Source organism: Homo sapiens, chromosome 2 (assembly GCF_000001405.40).
Source record: "Homo sapiens chromosome 2, GRCh38.p14 Primary Assembly".
Taxonomy (NCBI): Eukaryota; Metazoa; Chordata; class Mammalia; order Primates; family Hominidae; genus Homo; species Homo sapiens.
Genome location: NC_000002.12, coordinates 231,515,260 through 231,532,165, shown reverse-complemented (window position 1 = coordinate 231,532,165; position 16,906 = coordinate 231,515,260). Strand labels below are relative to the sequence as shown.

The window sequence follows — 16,906 nt, the reverse complement described above, 5'->3', positions numbered from 1 at the left end:
ACTTGCTAAGAGCAGCCTGTGATGCCACAGTGGTCTCTGATGCTGAGTGATGTCATCCCTCCTTGCCCGTCTGTTGTGCTGGCAGCCCTGTTACTGAGGATTTCTCCTGGACTAGCTCATCAGGGGCTGAGTAGTTAATTCCCAGGGCACCACAGAATCCTTTCTCCCAAGGCCCTGAGGACCACGTGCCCCTGCACTTCCCACAACCGTCCCCTGCCTGGGACTCTGTTTACATGTGGAGTTCCTGGGAAGGCCGGCCTGGTGCAGGCTCCTTGAGGGCCTAACTCCCATCCCCAAGCCCAGACAGTGACTTATGGAATTGGGGGGCAGTGGGGAGGAGGAGGGTGCAGGAAAGCGGGGGGAAGGAGGAGCCTCCAGTTGCCACTAAATGGTGACAATCCCACCCCACATTTCTTGAGTGTTGGCCATGTGCCAGCCCCTGTGCTGAATCTTGACGCTCAGTGTCTCATGTCACCTTCACAATAGTGGCGATGGTGGTTAGCCCATTCTACAGGAAGGGGAACTGAGGCACACAGAGCTTCTGAGCTCACGGTGGCCTCTCGGGGTCCTGTGGCTTTGTAACCTCTCCTGGTGCTCCTCAGTGTGATTCTGGGGCATGGGGCTCTCCAGAGGGCGTTTGTCAAACATGAGGATTTCTGGGCCTTGCCCAGGCTAAGGAGACAAAACTCTGGGCAAAGGCCCCGGAACCAGCATTTTACTCTGTGTGATCCGTCATTTCTAGGGTCCCTAGAAGTTTCTGATGAAACAGCTTCCAGCTAAGGAGCTGATTGCAGGACTAGGGAGTGGGAGCAGGTGAGGCACTGGGATTTGCATGTGGGCAGTGTGGGGGAGCAGGAGGCTGTGGCTGGGCATTCTTAACCCTTCCCTAAATTCCCTCCATCCTTGTCTATACCCCCACCCTTGGTACAGTGATGGGGGCAGAAGAACATTTGAACGGATAAGGGGGACAGTATTTGGGGCTGAGGACAATGGTGAGGAGAGGGTGGCCCAGGGAGGCAGGTGAGGAGTGGGGAGGTCCACCCCCAGGCTAGACTTTGGTGTGCTCTTTTTCAGAAGGCAGTGGGGGGGCCCCAAGGAAGGGTTTCGAGGGGGTGATGGTCGTTGGTGGCTGTGGGAGGATGGACTGGAGGGAGAATAGGGGGCTCTTGCCCAGTCCTGCAGGGCCGAGCGCCTGGACTCAGGGACTGGAGGCCCCGAAGGGAGCAGCGGGTGAGAGGGGCTGCGGAGGCTGCAATCATGGGCCTTGGGACAGAAGAAGAGGCCTGGAGCCTGGGAGGATGAACCGCACCGGGGCATGTCGACTTCAAGGGGCTGGTGGGCCGTCCCTGTCCTTGGAGGTGGGTCTGAATGGGGGGCAGGAGGAGCTGGAGGCCGCAGGGACACCGTGACGGCGTTAAGCTAAACTCAGCACGCTGGAGGGCGGGAATCACATGTGAGCCCCAGGTCTCTCGGGCTCCTCCTCTGCGGCTCTCTGAGGCTCAGTTTTCTCATCTGTAAAACGGGTTGTTGTGAGGGTTCCGTCAGATAACGCTGCTTGTGGAGGTGTCGCCTCCACGCTGCTTGTGGAGGTGTCGCCTCCAACGGCCGCGTCCTCCGCCAGTGCGGGAGGGGGCGCCGCCCGGGCTGCGGGGACTGCACTGCCCCCTGGCGGCGTTCCCGGCCGGACAGGCGGGGCGTCGGGGCGCGGGCTGGGGCCGCTGTCAGTCAGTCCACTGGCTCCCGCGCCGCGTCTGTGTCCGTCGCTCGGAGGGTGGAAGCCGGGGTCTCGCGGGCCGCGGGCCGCATGGTAGGTGCGCAGGCGCCGGCGTGGGCTAGGGCGCGGCAGCTGGGCCGGGGCTCGGTGCGGGCAGGGTCGTCCTAGGGCGGGAAGGGTCCGAGGGCTCCGTCGGGGTGCCCCCCGTCCCCGCCACCGGGGAGCCTCGCAACTTCTCGGGTCATTTGTGTCTTCCGGCCAGGGGCGCCGGGGGGCTGCGGGCTTGCGACCCTTCCTCGAGGACCAGGGCGCCTCCCTTGAACCCGGGCTGGCGCCTGCGCGTTCCCAACTGGTTCCCGAGGCTCCCGCGCTGCTGTGCAGCGGGGGTGAGGGCGGGCGGGAGGAAGGGTGTGGGGCTCAATAGAGGAGAGGGAACCCCAGAACTGGCAGTGCCAAGGGCGTCAAATATGGAGACTGAACAGTTCAGGTGACAGAAAACAGAAAAAAGAATCAACTTGTGGATGAAGCATTTGTAGTGTGTAGCCTTGACACTCCCTCACTTGACTCTCATAGTGACTGGGTCCCCAGAGCAAGGGGGTGATCCCCGTGCCCTTCCGTATGCCAGGCAGGCCCTGTGTTAATGTCTTTAATGGATTAAACTCCCTGGATCCTCCTAATAGGGAAACAGCCTCAGAGAGGTTACCTCGCTAAAGGTCACACAGCCTGGAACTGGGGAGGCTGGATTCGAATCCAGGCAGTTGCTTCCTGAGCGCTTGCTCTTGAAGACCCTGCAATACCAGGCATTGTGCCCATTTTACAGATGCCCAAACGAGTGCCTCATCTAGCATCATTGCTTGAAAGAGGAGACACCCAAGATCTGTCATTTACTCAAAGGTTCCAATAGATCATGAAATTTAAAATCAAAACCCCACGTGTTTTTTTTTTTTTAAATGTAGATTTTTACTTTTTCGTTGTTTGCTTTTTGTTTTTTTGAGACAAGGTCTTTCTCTGTTGCCCAGGCTGGAGTCCGGTGGCACAATCTCCGCTCACTGCAACCTCTGTCTCCTGGGTTCAAACAATTCTCCCGCCTCAGCCTCCCAAGTAGCTGGAATTACAGGCGTGTGCTACCACGCCCGGCTACTTTTTGTATTGTTAGTAGAGACGGGGTTTCACCATATTGGCCAGGCTGGTCTTGAACTCCTGATCTCAAGTGATCCGCCTGCCTCGACCAAAGTGTTGGGATTACAGGTGTGAGCCACTGCACCAAGCTTATTTTTACATCTCTGACTTGTGGATGGAAGAGTTTTTTCTTTCTCAGTGGTGCCTAAAATAATGGTCATCATAGCGCTAATGTCACCTTTGGCTTGATGAGTGAGGACAGAGCCAGCATTCCCTGAATGATCTTTCTGGGCATCTCTCCCCTCTGTTCCACAGACTCCTCTCTGCCTCAATTGCTCTGTCCTCCCTGGAGACCTGTACCCAGGGGGTGCAAGGAACCCCATGGCTTGCAATGGCAGTGCGGCCAGGGGGCACTTTGACCCTGAGGACTTGAACCTGACTGACGAGGCACTGAGACTCAAGTACCTGGGGCCCCAGCAGACAGAGCTGTTCATGCCCATCTGTGCCACATACCTGCTGATCTTCGTGGTGGGCGCTGTGGGCAATGGGCTGACCTGTCTGGTCATCCTGCGCCACAAGGCCATGCGCACGCCTACCAACTACTACCTCTTCAGCCTGGCCGTGTCGGACCTGCTGGTGCTGCTGGTGGGCCTGCCCCTGGAGCTCTATGAGATGTGGCACAACTACCCCTTCCTGCTGGGCGTTGGTGGCTGCTATTTCCGCACGCTACTGTTTGAGATGGTCTGCCTGGCCTCAGTGCTCAACGTCACTGCCCTGAGCGTGGAACGCTATGTGGCCGTGGTGCACCCACTCCAGGCCAGGTCCATGGTGACGCGGGCCCATGTGCGCCGAGTGCTTGGGGCCGTCTGGGGTCTTGCCATGCTCTGCTCCCTGCCCAACACCAGCCTGCACGGCATCCGGCAGCTGCACGTGCCCTGCCGGGGCCCAGTGCCAGACTCAGCTGTTTGCATGCTGGTCCGCCCACGGGCCCTCTACAACATGGTAGTGCAGACCACCGCGCTGCTCTTCTTCTGCCTGCCCATGGCCATCATGAGCGTGCTCTACCTGCTCATTGGGCTGCGACTGCGGCGGGAGAGGCTGCTGCTCATGCAGGAGGCCAAGGGCAGGGGCTCTGCAGCAGCCAGGTCCAGATACACCTGCAGGCTCCAGCAGCACGATCGGGGCCGGAGACAAGTGACCAAGATGCTGTGTAAGTGTCACGGCTGGGAAGAGGGGCTGAGCCAGGCACTGGGTATGAGTTTGGGGCTCCTGGGGCCTGGGAGAAGGGGCTGAGTATCTGGGTTTATGGGGGACGAGGAACTCCTCTAGTCTCGTGTGTGTGTGTGTGTGTGTGTGTGTCTGAGTTGCACTCCTGTGTACTCTTTTAGATTACCCTACTAGAATCTTACACCAAAAATACCTGTTAATGGCTAACGGTAAGATTGTGTAATTTGTGGAGTCCAGTGCAACATGAAAATTCAGGGTCCCTTTTTCAAAAATGAATAAGAATGTCAAGACAGCAACAACAGAGCATTAAACCAAGCCCAGGACCCTGCTAAACTTGGGGCCCTGGCTCTGGAACCAAAACACAGAAAGGGCAGGGCATGTGGTTGGGCTCCAGGATGACAGAAAATGGGATCTGGACCCTCCAGGTCTCAGGTCTCTCCTCTTCTTTTTTTTTTTTTTTTTTTTTTTGAGACAGGGTCTTGCTCTGTCACTCAGGCTGTGGTGTGACCACGGCTCACTGCAGCCTCAACCTCCCAGGCTCAAGCGATCCTCCTACCTCACTCAGCCTCCTAAGTAGCTGGGGCTACAGGCAGGTGCCACCATGCCCAGCTAATTTTTTCATTTTTGTAGAGACGGGGTCTCACTATGTTGCCAGAGCGGATCTTGAACTCCTGGTCTCAAGTGATCCTCCCACCTCAGCCTCCCAAAGTGCTGGGATTACAGGCATAAGCCATTGCACCCGGCTCTCTTTGGTTATTAACGTGTCTTGGCCTTGTTCTTCTCGGCAGCAGCCTGTGAGGCATGGCCACCGGCACGCCATCTTCTTTCCTGAGGAACTGCTGTCTTTCCTTAGAGATGAGTGAAAAATCCCAAGAAGGATTCTGATGGGCGTGGCCTAGGTCATGCCCCACCTCCTGAGCCAGAGTGGCAGGATGCCGAGGTGCACAGCCCCCAGTGGAACTACACAGTGAGATCTGGGGGGAGCAAAGTCCCCCAGAGAAGGGGAGGAGGGTGTTGGAGAGGCCAGGTGCTGAATTTCCCCCATGCCATGTCTGCGGTTCCCTGGGAACCGCAGGAGAGACCATTTGTCTAAACAGCCCCATCCCGAGGCGTGTCTGTGAAGGCCGGGCTCAAGGCACAGGGGATCAGGCCAGAGGCCTGCGGATTAGGGCAGGCTAAGGTACTGGGATGAGGCTCTGGATCTCTGTGGCCTGGACCTGGCTCTTTTTCAAAAGCTGTGGCCCTGGGGAAGCAAGACAAACTGATACTAAGCCGATCAAAGATCCGCCCCATCCACCTACCTGCATCCCAGCTCAGCCCCACCTCAGCAGAGCCTGAATCAGGCCAGTGGGGTGAGCCAGGTCAGCAGAGGGCCACTGAGACTTTGGACAGAGCCAGCTAACTGGGGGCCGCCCCATCTCCAGAGTGACTCGCTCCTCTCACCCCTCAGACACCGTCCCAGAGCTCAGTCTCTTGTGCAGCTCCTGAAACGAGGCTGACCCCAGAGCTATGTGCATGCCTCCCAGCTCTGCACGGTGAAGCCTGTGCTCAGGACCAGCTGCCCACTGCCGCCCTGCCTCCTGCCTACTACCCCGTCCCCTCCCTGAAAACATGGGTGGGCAGAGTCTGCAGTAGGTGCTTAGCTGGGGTGGCTCACCCCTGGAAGGTGGGCTTCCTGCTTGCTGGCCTTCTCTCTTCCCTCCCTCCCTCCCTTGTCCACTTTCCGCTGGCCCTCTGTGCACCAGGCCAGGGGCCAGGGAGGTTGTGAGCAACGTCCTTTTTGAAATCTGGGATTATGAGGAAAACCATGCTAGGGTATGATGGGGAAGACACTGCCCAGGAAAGCTAGTGAGTTGCAGCAGCAAACCCAAGAAACAAGGAACAAAAATCACAGCTGACCCTGTGGCAGAGACCCAGGGAAGGGCATAGTTGGGTAAGAACAAGGCAGGAGGGATTTGGGGAGAAAGTGAAGGTTTGCCAAACTCTCCTACCTTTTGTTAGGGAGGGGGTGGGCAAGGGCCTGGCAAGTAAGATGGGGGGCAGGTTAGTGCAGGGCAAGACATTCAGATGGGCCTTGGGGAGCTGGGGGCTGGAGCTGAAAAGGCCGGGGCCAAGGCAGGCAGTGTGTGTGTGTGTGCATGTGTGTGTCTGTGTGTGTGCATGCATGTGTGTGTGTGTGCATGCGTGTGTGTGTCTCACTCTCCCTGGCCCCATGACCTCCGGTCTGCCGCTCTCTGAGCACGTGCCCCATTCTTCTTTTCTGTACTTATGCATCAGCAAGCATGGCCCCCAAGTGGGCATCCAGAGTGGCCCTAGCCCCACAGCTTGTATCACCCCAGAAGCTCAACAGCCACAGCTAAGTGTCACCCAATTTCATATTCCAGGGTGAGAGAATCTGATTGGGCCGGCTGGGCTTAGGTGTCCACACCTGGTCCAGTTGGCTGTGGTCAGAGGCAGGGATATGCCCCATTGCCCACAGTCAGTGACCATGGTGAGGGCAGCCTCTCTGAGAGAGGCATGGCCAGAACAGGCAAATTTCCAGAAACTTCCACCTGGGTGATAGGTGAGGGTGGCCTGTGGGATAGGAGAGGATGTGAAAATGGGTGACCCAAACTGAAGCCCGGGAAGGCAGCTGAGGGGCCTCGGGCGGGCACTCGGCCTCCCTTCTCTGTCCCTGCAGTTGTCCTGGTCGTGGTGTTTGGCATCTGCTGGGCCCCGTTCCACGCCGACCGCGTCATGTGGAGCGTCGTGTCACAGTGGACAGATGGCCTGCACCTGGCCTTCCAGCACGTGCACGTCATCTCCGGCATCTTCTTCTACCTGGGCTCGGCGGCCAACCCCGTGCTCTATAGCCTCATGTCCAGCCGCTTCCGAGAGACCTTCCAGGAGGCCCTGTGCCTCGGGGCCTGCTGCCATCGCCTCAGACCCCGCCACAGCTCCCACAGCCTCAGCAGGATGACCACAGGCAGCACCCTGTGTGATGTGGGCTCCCTGGGCAGCTGGGTCCACCCCCTGGCTGGGAACGATGGCCCAGAGGCGCAGCAAGAGACCGATCCATCCTGAGTGGAGCCTTAAAGTGGCTTCACCTGGAGGGGCCAGAGGGTCACCTGGAGCTGGGGAGACACATCTGCCTTCCTCTGCAGGGATGCCTTCACGTACTGTCCCTAGTTCAGCCTAGAAATTCTGACCAGCACCTCAGTTTCCCTCAGAGGGAAACAGCAGGAGGAGGGATCCCTGACTGCTGAGGACTCACACTGACCAGACGCCACACCTTGTGCTTCTTATCTGTCCACTGCCACTCCCCCAGTTCAAATCCTTACCCTGCAGAAATATCACAGTTAGCTGGGGCTCAGCAGTCCTCCCTCTGGGGACTCCCTGCCACCACTGCCAGTTTCTGAAACGGTCCCACTGGGTCCTCACTGTCCTTCCCAGTTCCTGTTCAGGTTCTGGCAGGGGCCCAGGGATCCAGGGGACCTGGTTCCAATCTCAGCCCTGCTGTCACCACCTTGTCATGCACCATCAAGCATATCAGTCTACCTTTCTTTTTTTCTGAGACAGAGTCTCACTCTGTCGCCCAGGCTAGAGTGCAGTGGCGCGATTTTGGCTCACTGCAACCTCCGCCTCCGGGGTTCAAGCGATTCTCCTGCCTCAGCCTCCCGAGTAGCTGGGACTACAGGTGAGCCCCAGCATGCCCAGCTAATTTTTTTTAATTTTTAGTAGAGACGGGGTTTCACCATGTTGGCCAGGCTGGTCTCAAACTCTTGACCTCAGGTGATCCGCCGACCTCGGCCTCCCAAAGTCCTCGGATTACAGGCATGAGCCACCACACCCGGCCAATCAGTCCACCTTTCTAGGCCTTGGTTCCTTGCCTGAAAAATGAAAGAGGCGCTGGCTTTCCACAGTGTCATGCTTTGGCACTTTAGCTATGGTTTTCTTTCTGTGTGTGTGTAAGCCACTGCTTATAATAAAACCAACAATACCCTCAGACTGAAAGGGCGGAAGTTATTATCTGCATCTTTATCAACCCCAAGCCCCACTTCCTCCCTGACCTCCCCATGCCCTCCCCAGCCTCTCCCAGCACAAGTGGGGCAAAGCCAGCATGCAAGCAGACCCCACCACCACAGCCCACCTCCGTCCTCACATACGTGCAGGCTGGCTCGGGAGTCCAGTGAGCAGAGCATTGGACTTGGCTGGCCAGAGGGTCTCTGAGGGCAAGAGACATGGCCAACCAAGGGCAAGGAGTGACCCTGTGGAGGGTTCTGCCGAACTCAATGCAGTGAGAAGAGGGACAGGGACAAGTAGTCCTTGAAACTGAGCCCCATTCTGAATCCCTGCAGGCCAAGTCATTGCTCAGCCAGGACTCAGTTCATGGAGGAAACTTGTCCTGCTGCAGTCCCTGAGTCTTGTCCTCCTGAGAGGAAGCCCTGGCTTCCAAGGCTGGGAGCTGGAGGATGACCTTCGGTCGGTCTGTCTGGGTTCTCCCTGCAGACAGCTTCCTAGCTCATGCCCATAGCTCATGCTCCCTGCCGAGAAAGTGGAGGACGTGGTACAGGGTTGCAGATGTTTAGTTTTAAAAATTCAATTATAAAAATAATAAATGCTCATGATAGAAAATTTGGAAAGTGCAAATAAGCAAAAATGAAAACAATTTTAAAAATGTAAAACCTCTCTTGCCAGGGAATGGGGGAAGGGCAAGTGAGGAGTTCTTTAATGGGTGAAGAGTTTCAGTTTTGCAAAATGAAAAAGTTCTGGAGATCAGTTGTGCAACAATATGAATATACATAACAATACTGAACTATACACTGAAATGGTTAAGATGGTACATTTTATGTTATGTGTATTTTACCACAATTTTTATAAAAAGAGGATTAAATCTAAAGGAAAGAAAAAATTAAAACCACCCATAACTTTACTCTGAAGCAGTAACAGTGGCATGTTTCCTCCTAGTGATGTGTCATATGGTGGTTTTATTTTATATACACAATACACATAGACAATTTTGTATCTGGCCTTTTGTCCAGTGGATGTTCTATCCAAGCTCACGCTTGCACTCATTTGACTCATGGGATCCACTCTGATGGGCCTTGGCCAGCCCTGGGGGAGTAGGACTTGCATAAACCATCTGGGTGAATTCCCAGATGCTGGCCAGGAAGGCCTGGATGCCCCCTGCCTACTAAGTCCCTGGCTCGGGGGAGGAAGAGCCGTCCTGCCTGTCAGTCCTGCCCAGTGGACAAGTTCTGGGAGAAGCACAGGGGCTCCCGGACAGAGAGCAACAGAGGCTGGGGGTGGGGAGTGGGGACACTGAGGACAATGGGAGAAAATGGGAGAAGTGGGGACCTCGTGGAGGCCAGAGAGTGGATGAGGGAGCTGAGGGGAGGCTGGTTGGCGGAGGTGGTTTCCTCAGTGGGGGGCCCTGAGCCTGCCCTGACTTGAATGCACAGTCAAGCCCTGAGTGGGGACAGCTCCTAAGAAGTGGGCCTTGGGGGAGGGTGGGGGATAGGGGAGGGGAGTGACTGCAGGGACAGGGAGATTCTGCAGAGAAAGGAGCCTGTGAAAAGCTGTGCAGAGCCGTGAGCACCTGAGTGCTGCCCCTGAGCTCCCAGGGAAGTAGCCTTGGGGTGGGAGGGGGAGATGCCGGATCCCAAACTGCAGGCTGGACCCTGAAGTTGTTTCTCAAGACCAGCTCTGGACTCCCAGAGGCCTGCTTCAACCACAGTCAGAGGCACCTCATGCTCGAGGCACCCTGGACAGCATTATGAAGGGCCTCCATGTGCAGGCAGCAAGCAGACGGGCAGTGGGGTTGTTAGAAGGGTGCCCTCTGGGCCGGGCATGGTGGCTCATGCCTGTAATCCCAGCTCTTCGGGAAGCCAAGGCAGGTGGATCACCTGAGCTCAGGAGTTCAAGACCAGTCTAGGCAACATGGTGAAACCCCCGTCTCTACAATACACACACACAAAAAGTAGCCAGGTGTGGTGGCATACACCTGTGGTCCCAGCTACTTGGAAGGCTGAGGTGGGAAAATCACCTGAGCCCAGGAGGTCGAGGCTGCAGTAAGCCAAAATTGTGCTACTGTACTCCAGCCTGGGCAAATTGGAGTGAGGCCCTGTCTCAAAAAAAAAAAAAAAAAAAAAAGAGAAAAAAAAAGAAGGGTGCCCCTTTGTGAGCACCATGTATGTCTCCGCAGCACGTCAGCAACAGGTCCTGTCAGTCACTGGTTCCCATGGAAAACGGGAATAGCAGATCTGAACTCACCCCTTGAGAAACAGGGATGGCAATGGAAAGGGCAGAAGCAAGACCTGGCAAAAACACCGGTCATGCTGGGGCTGCATTCTCCTTGGTCCCCAGTGCTACTCCCAGGTCAGGAGGCCTCCATGCTTCTCAAAGTATCTAGCTCATCTGGGGCTCAAGTCACCTCCCCTTCCGACTGAGGTCACCATATCCCTCCTCCTCCTGTGGAGTTCAGGCCCTTTCTACTTCCCCTCTTCTCCACTCCTGCTGCTTTCCTGGGTGACGTCAGAGTCCATGGGTGACCCCACTGCTGCTCTGGGTGCCAGCTACTGATGGTTCCTGCAGCTCTGGAGACCCCACCCCAGTCTCCTAGCCCCTTGGTCACATCCTCACTCCCTGTGCCTCCAGGTGCTCTCCCATTTCAGAAAGTGTGAGCTCTTGACTGCTACTGCCTCTATCCTGCTCTCTGCTCCTATGACACATTTATTCTTTTATTTTTGTTTGAGATGGGGTCTTGCTTGGTCACCCAGACAGGAGTGCAGTGGCACAAACATGACTCACTGCAGCAGTCAACCTGCTGGCCTCAAGCAATCCTCCCACCTCAGCCTCTCAAGTAGGACCACAGGTACACATCACCATGCCTGGCTAATTGTTTTTCTTGTGTTGTAGAGGCACCGTCTCGCCATGTTGCCCAGGCTGGTTTGAAACTCCTGGGCTCAAGCAATCTGCCCACCGTTGGCCTCTTAAAGTACTGGGATTACAGGCGGGAGCCACTGCATCCGGCCATATTTATTCTTTAACCTCATCTAGACTTCCAGGTTCTAGACGGCTTTCTCCCAATCCATCAGCCTCCTCTGAGCTTCACTTCTTTTCTGATCCCACCATCAGTTCATCTACCCTACTCTGCCAGCGTTCCTGAGGGTGAGTACACTGGAATAATTCTTCCCTTCTCAGAAAAAGGCTTAATTTCCTTGAAAATTGAAAGTCCAAGATTAGTCTCATCAACAAACAAAGCTGCATATGCCTACCCTTCCTTCTGTTAGGCATCTACTCAGCAAAGGTAAAGTGTGTAGCACTACACATCTGTTCTCTTCATTACCAGGTGGCATTTCCAGATCATTCCTGGCATCTGGGAGCCTATCTCATTTTTGTACACTTCTCCAAGTCTTCCCCTTTCCCTATTCTTGTCTTCTAATGGATCCATCAGGTTCTTGTTCCAAATTTCTTTGTAGCGTGCTGGCTTCAGCAGCACATATACCAAATTTCCTTGTAGAGAGGAGTTGCCTTGTGGGGGAGAGGGGGCACACCCTAGCATTTGAACTCCTTTCTTATTGGGGGGAATCTCTCATTGTGTGACTCAGTGGAAGACTAAGCCCAGTCTCCCACTTACAGGGGTGAAAGAGTTCTGGACACTCTCCACTGCTGACATCTATTGGTACATGATGGACCAAGCCAGCTGGGTGACCCAACGTGGGACCTGTATCTGGAGCAAGTGACACTAAGACGCACAACAACAGGGGCAGGCGTGTCCAGGGGCAGCAGCACTGACAGCAGTATCCTGCCCAGTCTGTCTTGGGTTCCGCCCTTTTTCTCAGCCAGTTTTTCCTGCCTTCCTGTTGATATTTGAGCTACTGAGAGCATTTCAATAAGTTCTTTTTCTGCTGAAGTTGGCTGGAGTCATTTGCAACCAAGAACCTTAACTGATCTATCCACTGGCTTGAAGGTTACACATTCTGTTTGTTCTACTAGCAGTTATCTTTACAGTTTCTAAGATTAGCAAATATTATTGATTTCTTTTAAACTGCAAACTATAGTCTGTAATATTCTGTAATTATTCTAATCCCCCTCCTCCTCCTGGCAGGAAAAATGAGGACAGATTTCAGAATTTGATCCTAGAAACATACGTACACTATTTTATTTTATTTTATCTTATCTTCTTATCTTATTTTATAGAGACAGGGTCTCACTATGTTGCCCAGGCTGGTCTTGAATTCCTGGGCTCAAATGATCCTCCTGCCTTGGCCTCCCAAAGTGCTGGGATTACAGGCAAGAGCCACTGCGCCTGACTCATACTTACATTTTTCTAACAGTCTAAACCTCTTCAGCACAAGAAAAGAACCCCAGTGTGCTTCTAACACACTGTGAGTTAGTAGAGTGGAGTGTGGAGGTGGTGAGCAAGGACTCTCTGGTTGGGCTGCCCAGCTGTGACTCCTGGTTCTGCTGCTAATTATCCTTACATGTCAGAATGACCTAAGGCCAAAGTCAGACTGGACTGAGAGGTACTGACATTTCTAAAGAAAGAATGTACAATCTGCCTGCACACAAATGAGACTCAGAGGCAAACACTGACAGTCTGCAACATCGTTCCAAATGGTGTCCAGGTTTCTAAATCTACAAGGTGTAGTCTGAGGATGGTGGTGACTCTCTAAAGTAAATGTTCTTTCTGTGGCCCCTTCAAGGCAATACCCCAACCTAACATTCAAGTTTCTGCACAAGGCAGGGCAGGAAAACTGGGGACTGGGCAGGATCAAAGGCCTGACGCATAGGTGCGGGACAGTGGGGACTCAGGGAAGGCGAACTTGGGTAAGTGCGCCCTGGTCAATAAGAAGAGGCCATGGGCTGGAATTAGACTGGAGAGCCTGGAAGCTGCAGCCACATCCTATGGAACATCCACAAGAGTTTCTGGAATCTTTTAATCTAACATTCAAGCCCCTTCTTCAGCTCTAAGCAACACAGGCATCATTCATCCAACATTTATTGAGCACCAACCATGTGCCAGGCACTTTTCAAGGCTGAGGCGGGGTGAAGGAGAGGGCAGATAAACATACTGGCATATAAGTGCTTTGACAGCTGGAACTCAGGCATCGAAGAGAGGCACCTGCCCCAGCCGAGGGAAGGCTTCCAGGAGGAGGTGATGCGCCCAAGTCCTGGGGAGAAGGGTCTGACTGGCCCCTGAGCTTTGGCCAGGGAAGCAGTTCCACCAAAACTGAATCAGGGGAGGAGGTGGAGAGCCTAAAGGGAATGAGGGATGTCAGGAGGCAGAATGAACACTGGACAGGCACACACAAAAGCAAAGCAACTGAGGTCCACTATCATCACTGCTGGCGCGTGGACTTCCCTGGCCACCCTTCCTGGAACTTGGACTTGGAACCTTCCCTCCAGTCTTTCTCCCTGTTCGTCTCACCTCCTTTAGATGTGTTCAGGCAGGATTTCTTTTATTTGCATTTCAGGAAATTTGAAAAAAGTACAAAAAACCACCAAAAAAAATTACTTCCATTCCCAACACCCAAATTAACTGCTGTTAACATTCTGGCAATTTGATTCCATCATTTTCCTGCATATTACCCCCCTTCAATTTAATGAGTAGGCTGGGCGCGGTGGCTCATGCCTATAATCCCAGCACTTTGGGAGGCTGAGGCAGGCGGATCGCCTGAGGTCAAGAGTTCAAGACCAGCATGGCCGACGTGGCAAAACCCTGTCTCTACTAAAAATACAAAAATTAGCTGTGCGTGGTGGCACGCGCCTGTAATCCCAACTACTCAGGAGGCTGAGACAGGAGAATCACTTGAACCGAGGAGGCAGAGGTTGCAGTAAGCTGAGATCGTGCCACTGCACTCCAGCCTGGGTAACAGAGCAAGATTCCGTCTCAAAAAAAAAAAAAAAATTTAATGAGTAACAGATTATCCCCAATCATTTGCTTTGTAAAACAACACTGCTGGCCAGGCATGGTGGCTCATGCCTGTAATCCCAGCACTTTGGGAGGCCAAGGTGGGCAGATCATCTGAGGTCAGGAGTTCAAGACCAGCCTGGCCAACACGGTGAAACCCCATCTCTACTAAAAATACAAAAAGTTAGCTGGGTGTGGTGGCAGATGCCTGTAATCCCAGCTACTCGGGAGGCTGAAGCAGGAGAATCGCTTGAACCTGGGAGGTGGAGGTTGCAGTGGGCCGAGATCGTGCCATTGCACTCCAGCCTGGGCAACAAGAGGGAAACTCTGTCTCAAAAAACCAAAAAACCAAAAACCAAAACCAAAAACAAAAAAAAAATGGCCTAAAACCATCTAGTGGAAGGTTGATGGTTATCCTGGATGGATCAAGCTGGCAACACTCAAATTGTCTGATCAATTTTAACACCACTGAATGTGGAACAACCAGATCTGAAGTGGTTAAGTGCCCCCTAGAGGGACATTACAGAAGTACACAGCACCAAAAAGAATTCTTGCAAAACAGCTGAACCTGAATCTAACCAAGCCTCTAGTTTACAAAAACACTGATGAAGGAATATGGTAAAGAACCACAAGATTGTCAACCAAGTCCAGATTAGAGACAATTCTACAGGACAACTGACAGTTTCTCCAACAAATAAAAGGCATTTTTAAAGGGGAGGTTCTCGATTATAGGTTTTCAAAAGATTTAACGGCCAGGCGTGGTGGCTCATGCCTGTAATCCCAGCACTTTGGGAGGCTAAGGTGGGAGGATCACTTGGGCCCAGGAGTTTGAGACCAGCCTGGGTAACAGAAGGCAATCTCTTCTCTACAAAAAATGAAAAATAAAGAAACTTGGCGTGGTGTGGTGGTGCACCAGCTACTTGGGAGGCTGAGGTGGGAGGACTGCTTGAGTCCAGGAGGTCGAAGTGAGCCACGATTCAGCCACTGCACAGCCTGGTGACAGAGGGAGACTCCAGCTCAAAATTTTTTTTTAAAAAAGAGACATATCAACTAAATGTAATGTGTAGATATTTTAAAATCCTAATTCAAAACAAACCAACAATTAAAAGACACTTTTTATTTTTGTTTTTTAAAGACAGGGTCTCACTTTGTTACCTAGGTTGGAGCACAGTGGTGGGATCACTGTAGTCTCAACCTCCTGGTGGGCTCAAGTGATCCTCCTGTCTCAGCCTCCTGTGTAGCTGGGACTACTGGCACACACCCAGCTAATTTTTTTTTTTTTTTTTTGGTAGAAATGAGATCTCGCTGTGTTGCCCAGGCTGGTCTCAAACTCCTGGCTTCAAGCAGGAGGATCCCTTGACCCCAGGAGTTCAAGACCAGGCTGGGCAACATGGCAAAAGTCCATCTCTACAGAAACAACAACAACACCCCCCCCAAAAAAAACCCCAAAAATTAACCAATGCATGCCTGTGGTCCCAGCTACTCAGGAGGCTGAGGCGGGAGGATTGCTTGAGCCTGGGAGGTCAAGGCTGCAGTGAGCCATGATGGCACCACTGCACTCCAGCCTGGGTGAGAGCAAGTTCTTGTCTCAAACAACAACAACAACAACAAAAAACTCCCAAAATTTGCAATAAAGATTAACGTATATGTCTCTCCAGCAGTTTGAATGCTCTCTATGTTAGACACATGCAAGTGGATTTGCTAAAGGAAGGAATGAGTATTTTTACCTTTACTAAAACTGCCAAATTTCTCTCCAAGTGTTTGTAACAATTTGCCCTTTTACCAGTTTCTCCACAATCCCCAAACACTCGTAATTTCTGTCACTCTGACAGATAAAGTATCTTATTAAGTTGCATTTCCCTAATGGTTGTATAGTTGAGCATGTCTTCATTCTTTGCCACTCAAATTTCTCCTGAAAATGGCTTTTCATATCCTTCAGCCATTTTTGTTTTTTTCTTGATTTGTATTTCATTCATATTACAATATTAAATTTGTTTTGTATATGTTACAAATATTTCTAATTTGTTCCTTATGTTTTAAACTGGTTTATAGAAACTCCTGCATCCAGCAGTTGTAAATTGTAATGTGGTCAAATCTGTCATCATTTCGTTGGTAGGGGAGAAAATATTTTCCTCTCCCATCTTAAGGGTTATGGCTGACACCCCTATAACAAGGTTAATGAGAGAAAGGCATAACAAATTTAAAGTCTTATGTGACACAGGAACCTTAAGAAACGAAGACCCCATGACCTAAAGAAAACTGTATTTTTATGCTAAGTCTGATGAAAGAAGTAGATAGTTGTGCAGAAACATGATTGGACAAAAGGGGCATCATCTAATGGTCATACATAGGGGTGGGAGGAGACTTCGGCATGGCCCGTTTGCTCAGATTCTTTCTTGCGTCTCTGCATGACACTTCTCCTCCCCAGGTATGGCACAAGACTCCTCTGGAATGAGGGTCTTACAACCTACTTCACATGAGGTAGGCCAGTGAATTCCTTTATGACCCTGCTTTATGGGAGGGAGCAGATTACTTACAGAGACCTTGCTTCTGTGGTTTTCTCAACTGCCAAGGTGCCATATTTTGGCACATTTATGGATTTTGCTTGTGACTTATCCTGTCCTTGTTATTGATTTTAATAATACTTCCTGGCAGGGAGTGGTGATTCAATTTGCTAATACTTTATTTGAACCCTGCATCTGTTCTTAAATGAAATGGGCTTTTGCCTTTTCTTCAGTTGTTCTTGATCAGATATATATAATATTTTCTTAAAATATTTGGGCTAATCTCATAAAGTTAGCTAGGTAACAAGAGTTTGGTGAGGTACCAAATCTAAAACAGGTAGGCAGATTGTTTTTTCTATTCTCATTCTTTCCCAGTTTGGGTCTTTCTGAAGCTAGGATAAGGCCAGGGCTCCTTACTCAAGATCACCCTTCCCTATCCCCTAAAAA

At 52.3% G+C, this 16,906-nt stretch overlaps 1 protein-coding gene across 6 annotated transcripts, besides 5 other annotated features; it reads left to right on the top strand.

Moving 5' to 3' along the window:
* Window positions 35-769: an enhancer, noted in NCBI's record as "H3K4me1 hESC enhancer chr2:232396108-232396842 (GRCh37/hg19 assembly coordinates)". NCBI's record gives its function as "activates a minimal SCP1, AML or CMV promoter by ChIP-STARR-seq in primed H9 embryonic stem cells {active_cell/tissue: H9 hESC(primed)}" and the evidence as "EXISTENCE:reporter gene assay evidence [ECO:0000049][PMID:30033119]".
* Window positions 1,464-1,893: a silencer, noted in NCBI's record as "silent region_12430". NCBI's record gives its function as "represses an Ori minimal core promoter by ATAC-STARR-seq in GM12878 lymphoblastoid cells {active_cell/tissue: GM12878}" and the evidence as "EXISTENCE:reporter gene assay evidence [ECO:0000049][PMID:35858748]".
* On the top strand, window positions 1,721-13,711 carry NMUR1 (neuromedin U receptor 1). Of its 6 annotated transcripts, XM_006712195.4 has the most exons (4): window positions 1,721-1,807; window positions 3,149-4,043; window positions 11,099-11,209; window positions 11,681-13,711. In XM_006712195.4, exons 1-4 carry the CDS (start codon window positions 1,805-1,807, stop codon window positions 11,782-11,784), a joined length of 1,113 nt encoding a protein of 370 aa, XP_006712258.1. In that variant the 5' UTR covers window positions 1,721-1,804; the 3' UTR covers window positions 11,785-13,711. The 6 variants fall into 6 exon arrangements, with proteins under 6 accessions (XP_006712258.1, XP_006712259.1, XP_011508790.1 ...); XM_006712196.4 differs by lacking the exon at window positions 11,099-11,209 and having other exon boundaries at window positions 11,681-12,262; XM_011510488.3 differs by lacking the exon at window positions 11,681-13,711 and having other exon boundaries at window positions 11,099-11,669.
* Window positions 3,259-3,785: an enhancer, noted in NCBI's record as "H3K27ac-H3K4me1 hESC enhancer chr2:232393092-232393618 (GRCh37/hg19 assembly coordinates)". NCBI's record gives its function as "activates a minimal SCP1, AML or CMV promoter by ChIP-STARR-seq in naive H9 embryonic stem cells {active_cell/tissue: H9 hESC(naive)}" and the evidence as "EXISTENCE:reporter gene assay evidence [ECO:0000049][PMID:30033119]".
* Window positions 3,786-4,313: an enhancer, noted in NCBI's record as "H3K27ac-H3K4me1 hESC enhancer chr2:232392564-232393091 (GRCh37/hg19 assembly coordinates)". NCBI's record gives its function as "activates a minimal SCP1, AML or CMV promoter by ChIP-STARR-seq in primed H9 embryonic stem cells {active_cell/tissue: H9 hESC(primed)}" and the evidence as "EXISTENCE:reporter gene assay evidence [ECO:0000049][PMID:30033119]".
* Window positions 5,419-5,920: an enhancer, noted in NCBI's record as "H3K4me1 hESC enhancer chr2:232390957-232391458 (GRCh37/hg19 assembly coordinates)". NCBI's record gives its function as "activates a minimal SCP1, AML or CMV promoter by ChIP-STARR-seq in naive H9 embryonic stem cells {active_cell/tissue: H9 hESC(naive)}" and the evidence as "EXISTENCE:reporter gene assay evidence [ECO:0000049][PMID:30033119]".
* Window positions 13,712-16,906: the final 3,195 nt, after the last annotated feature.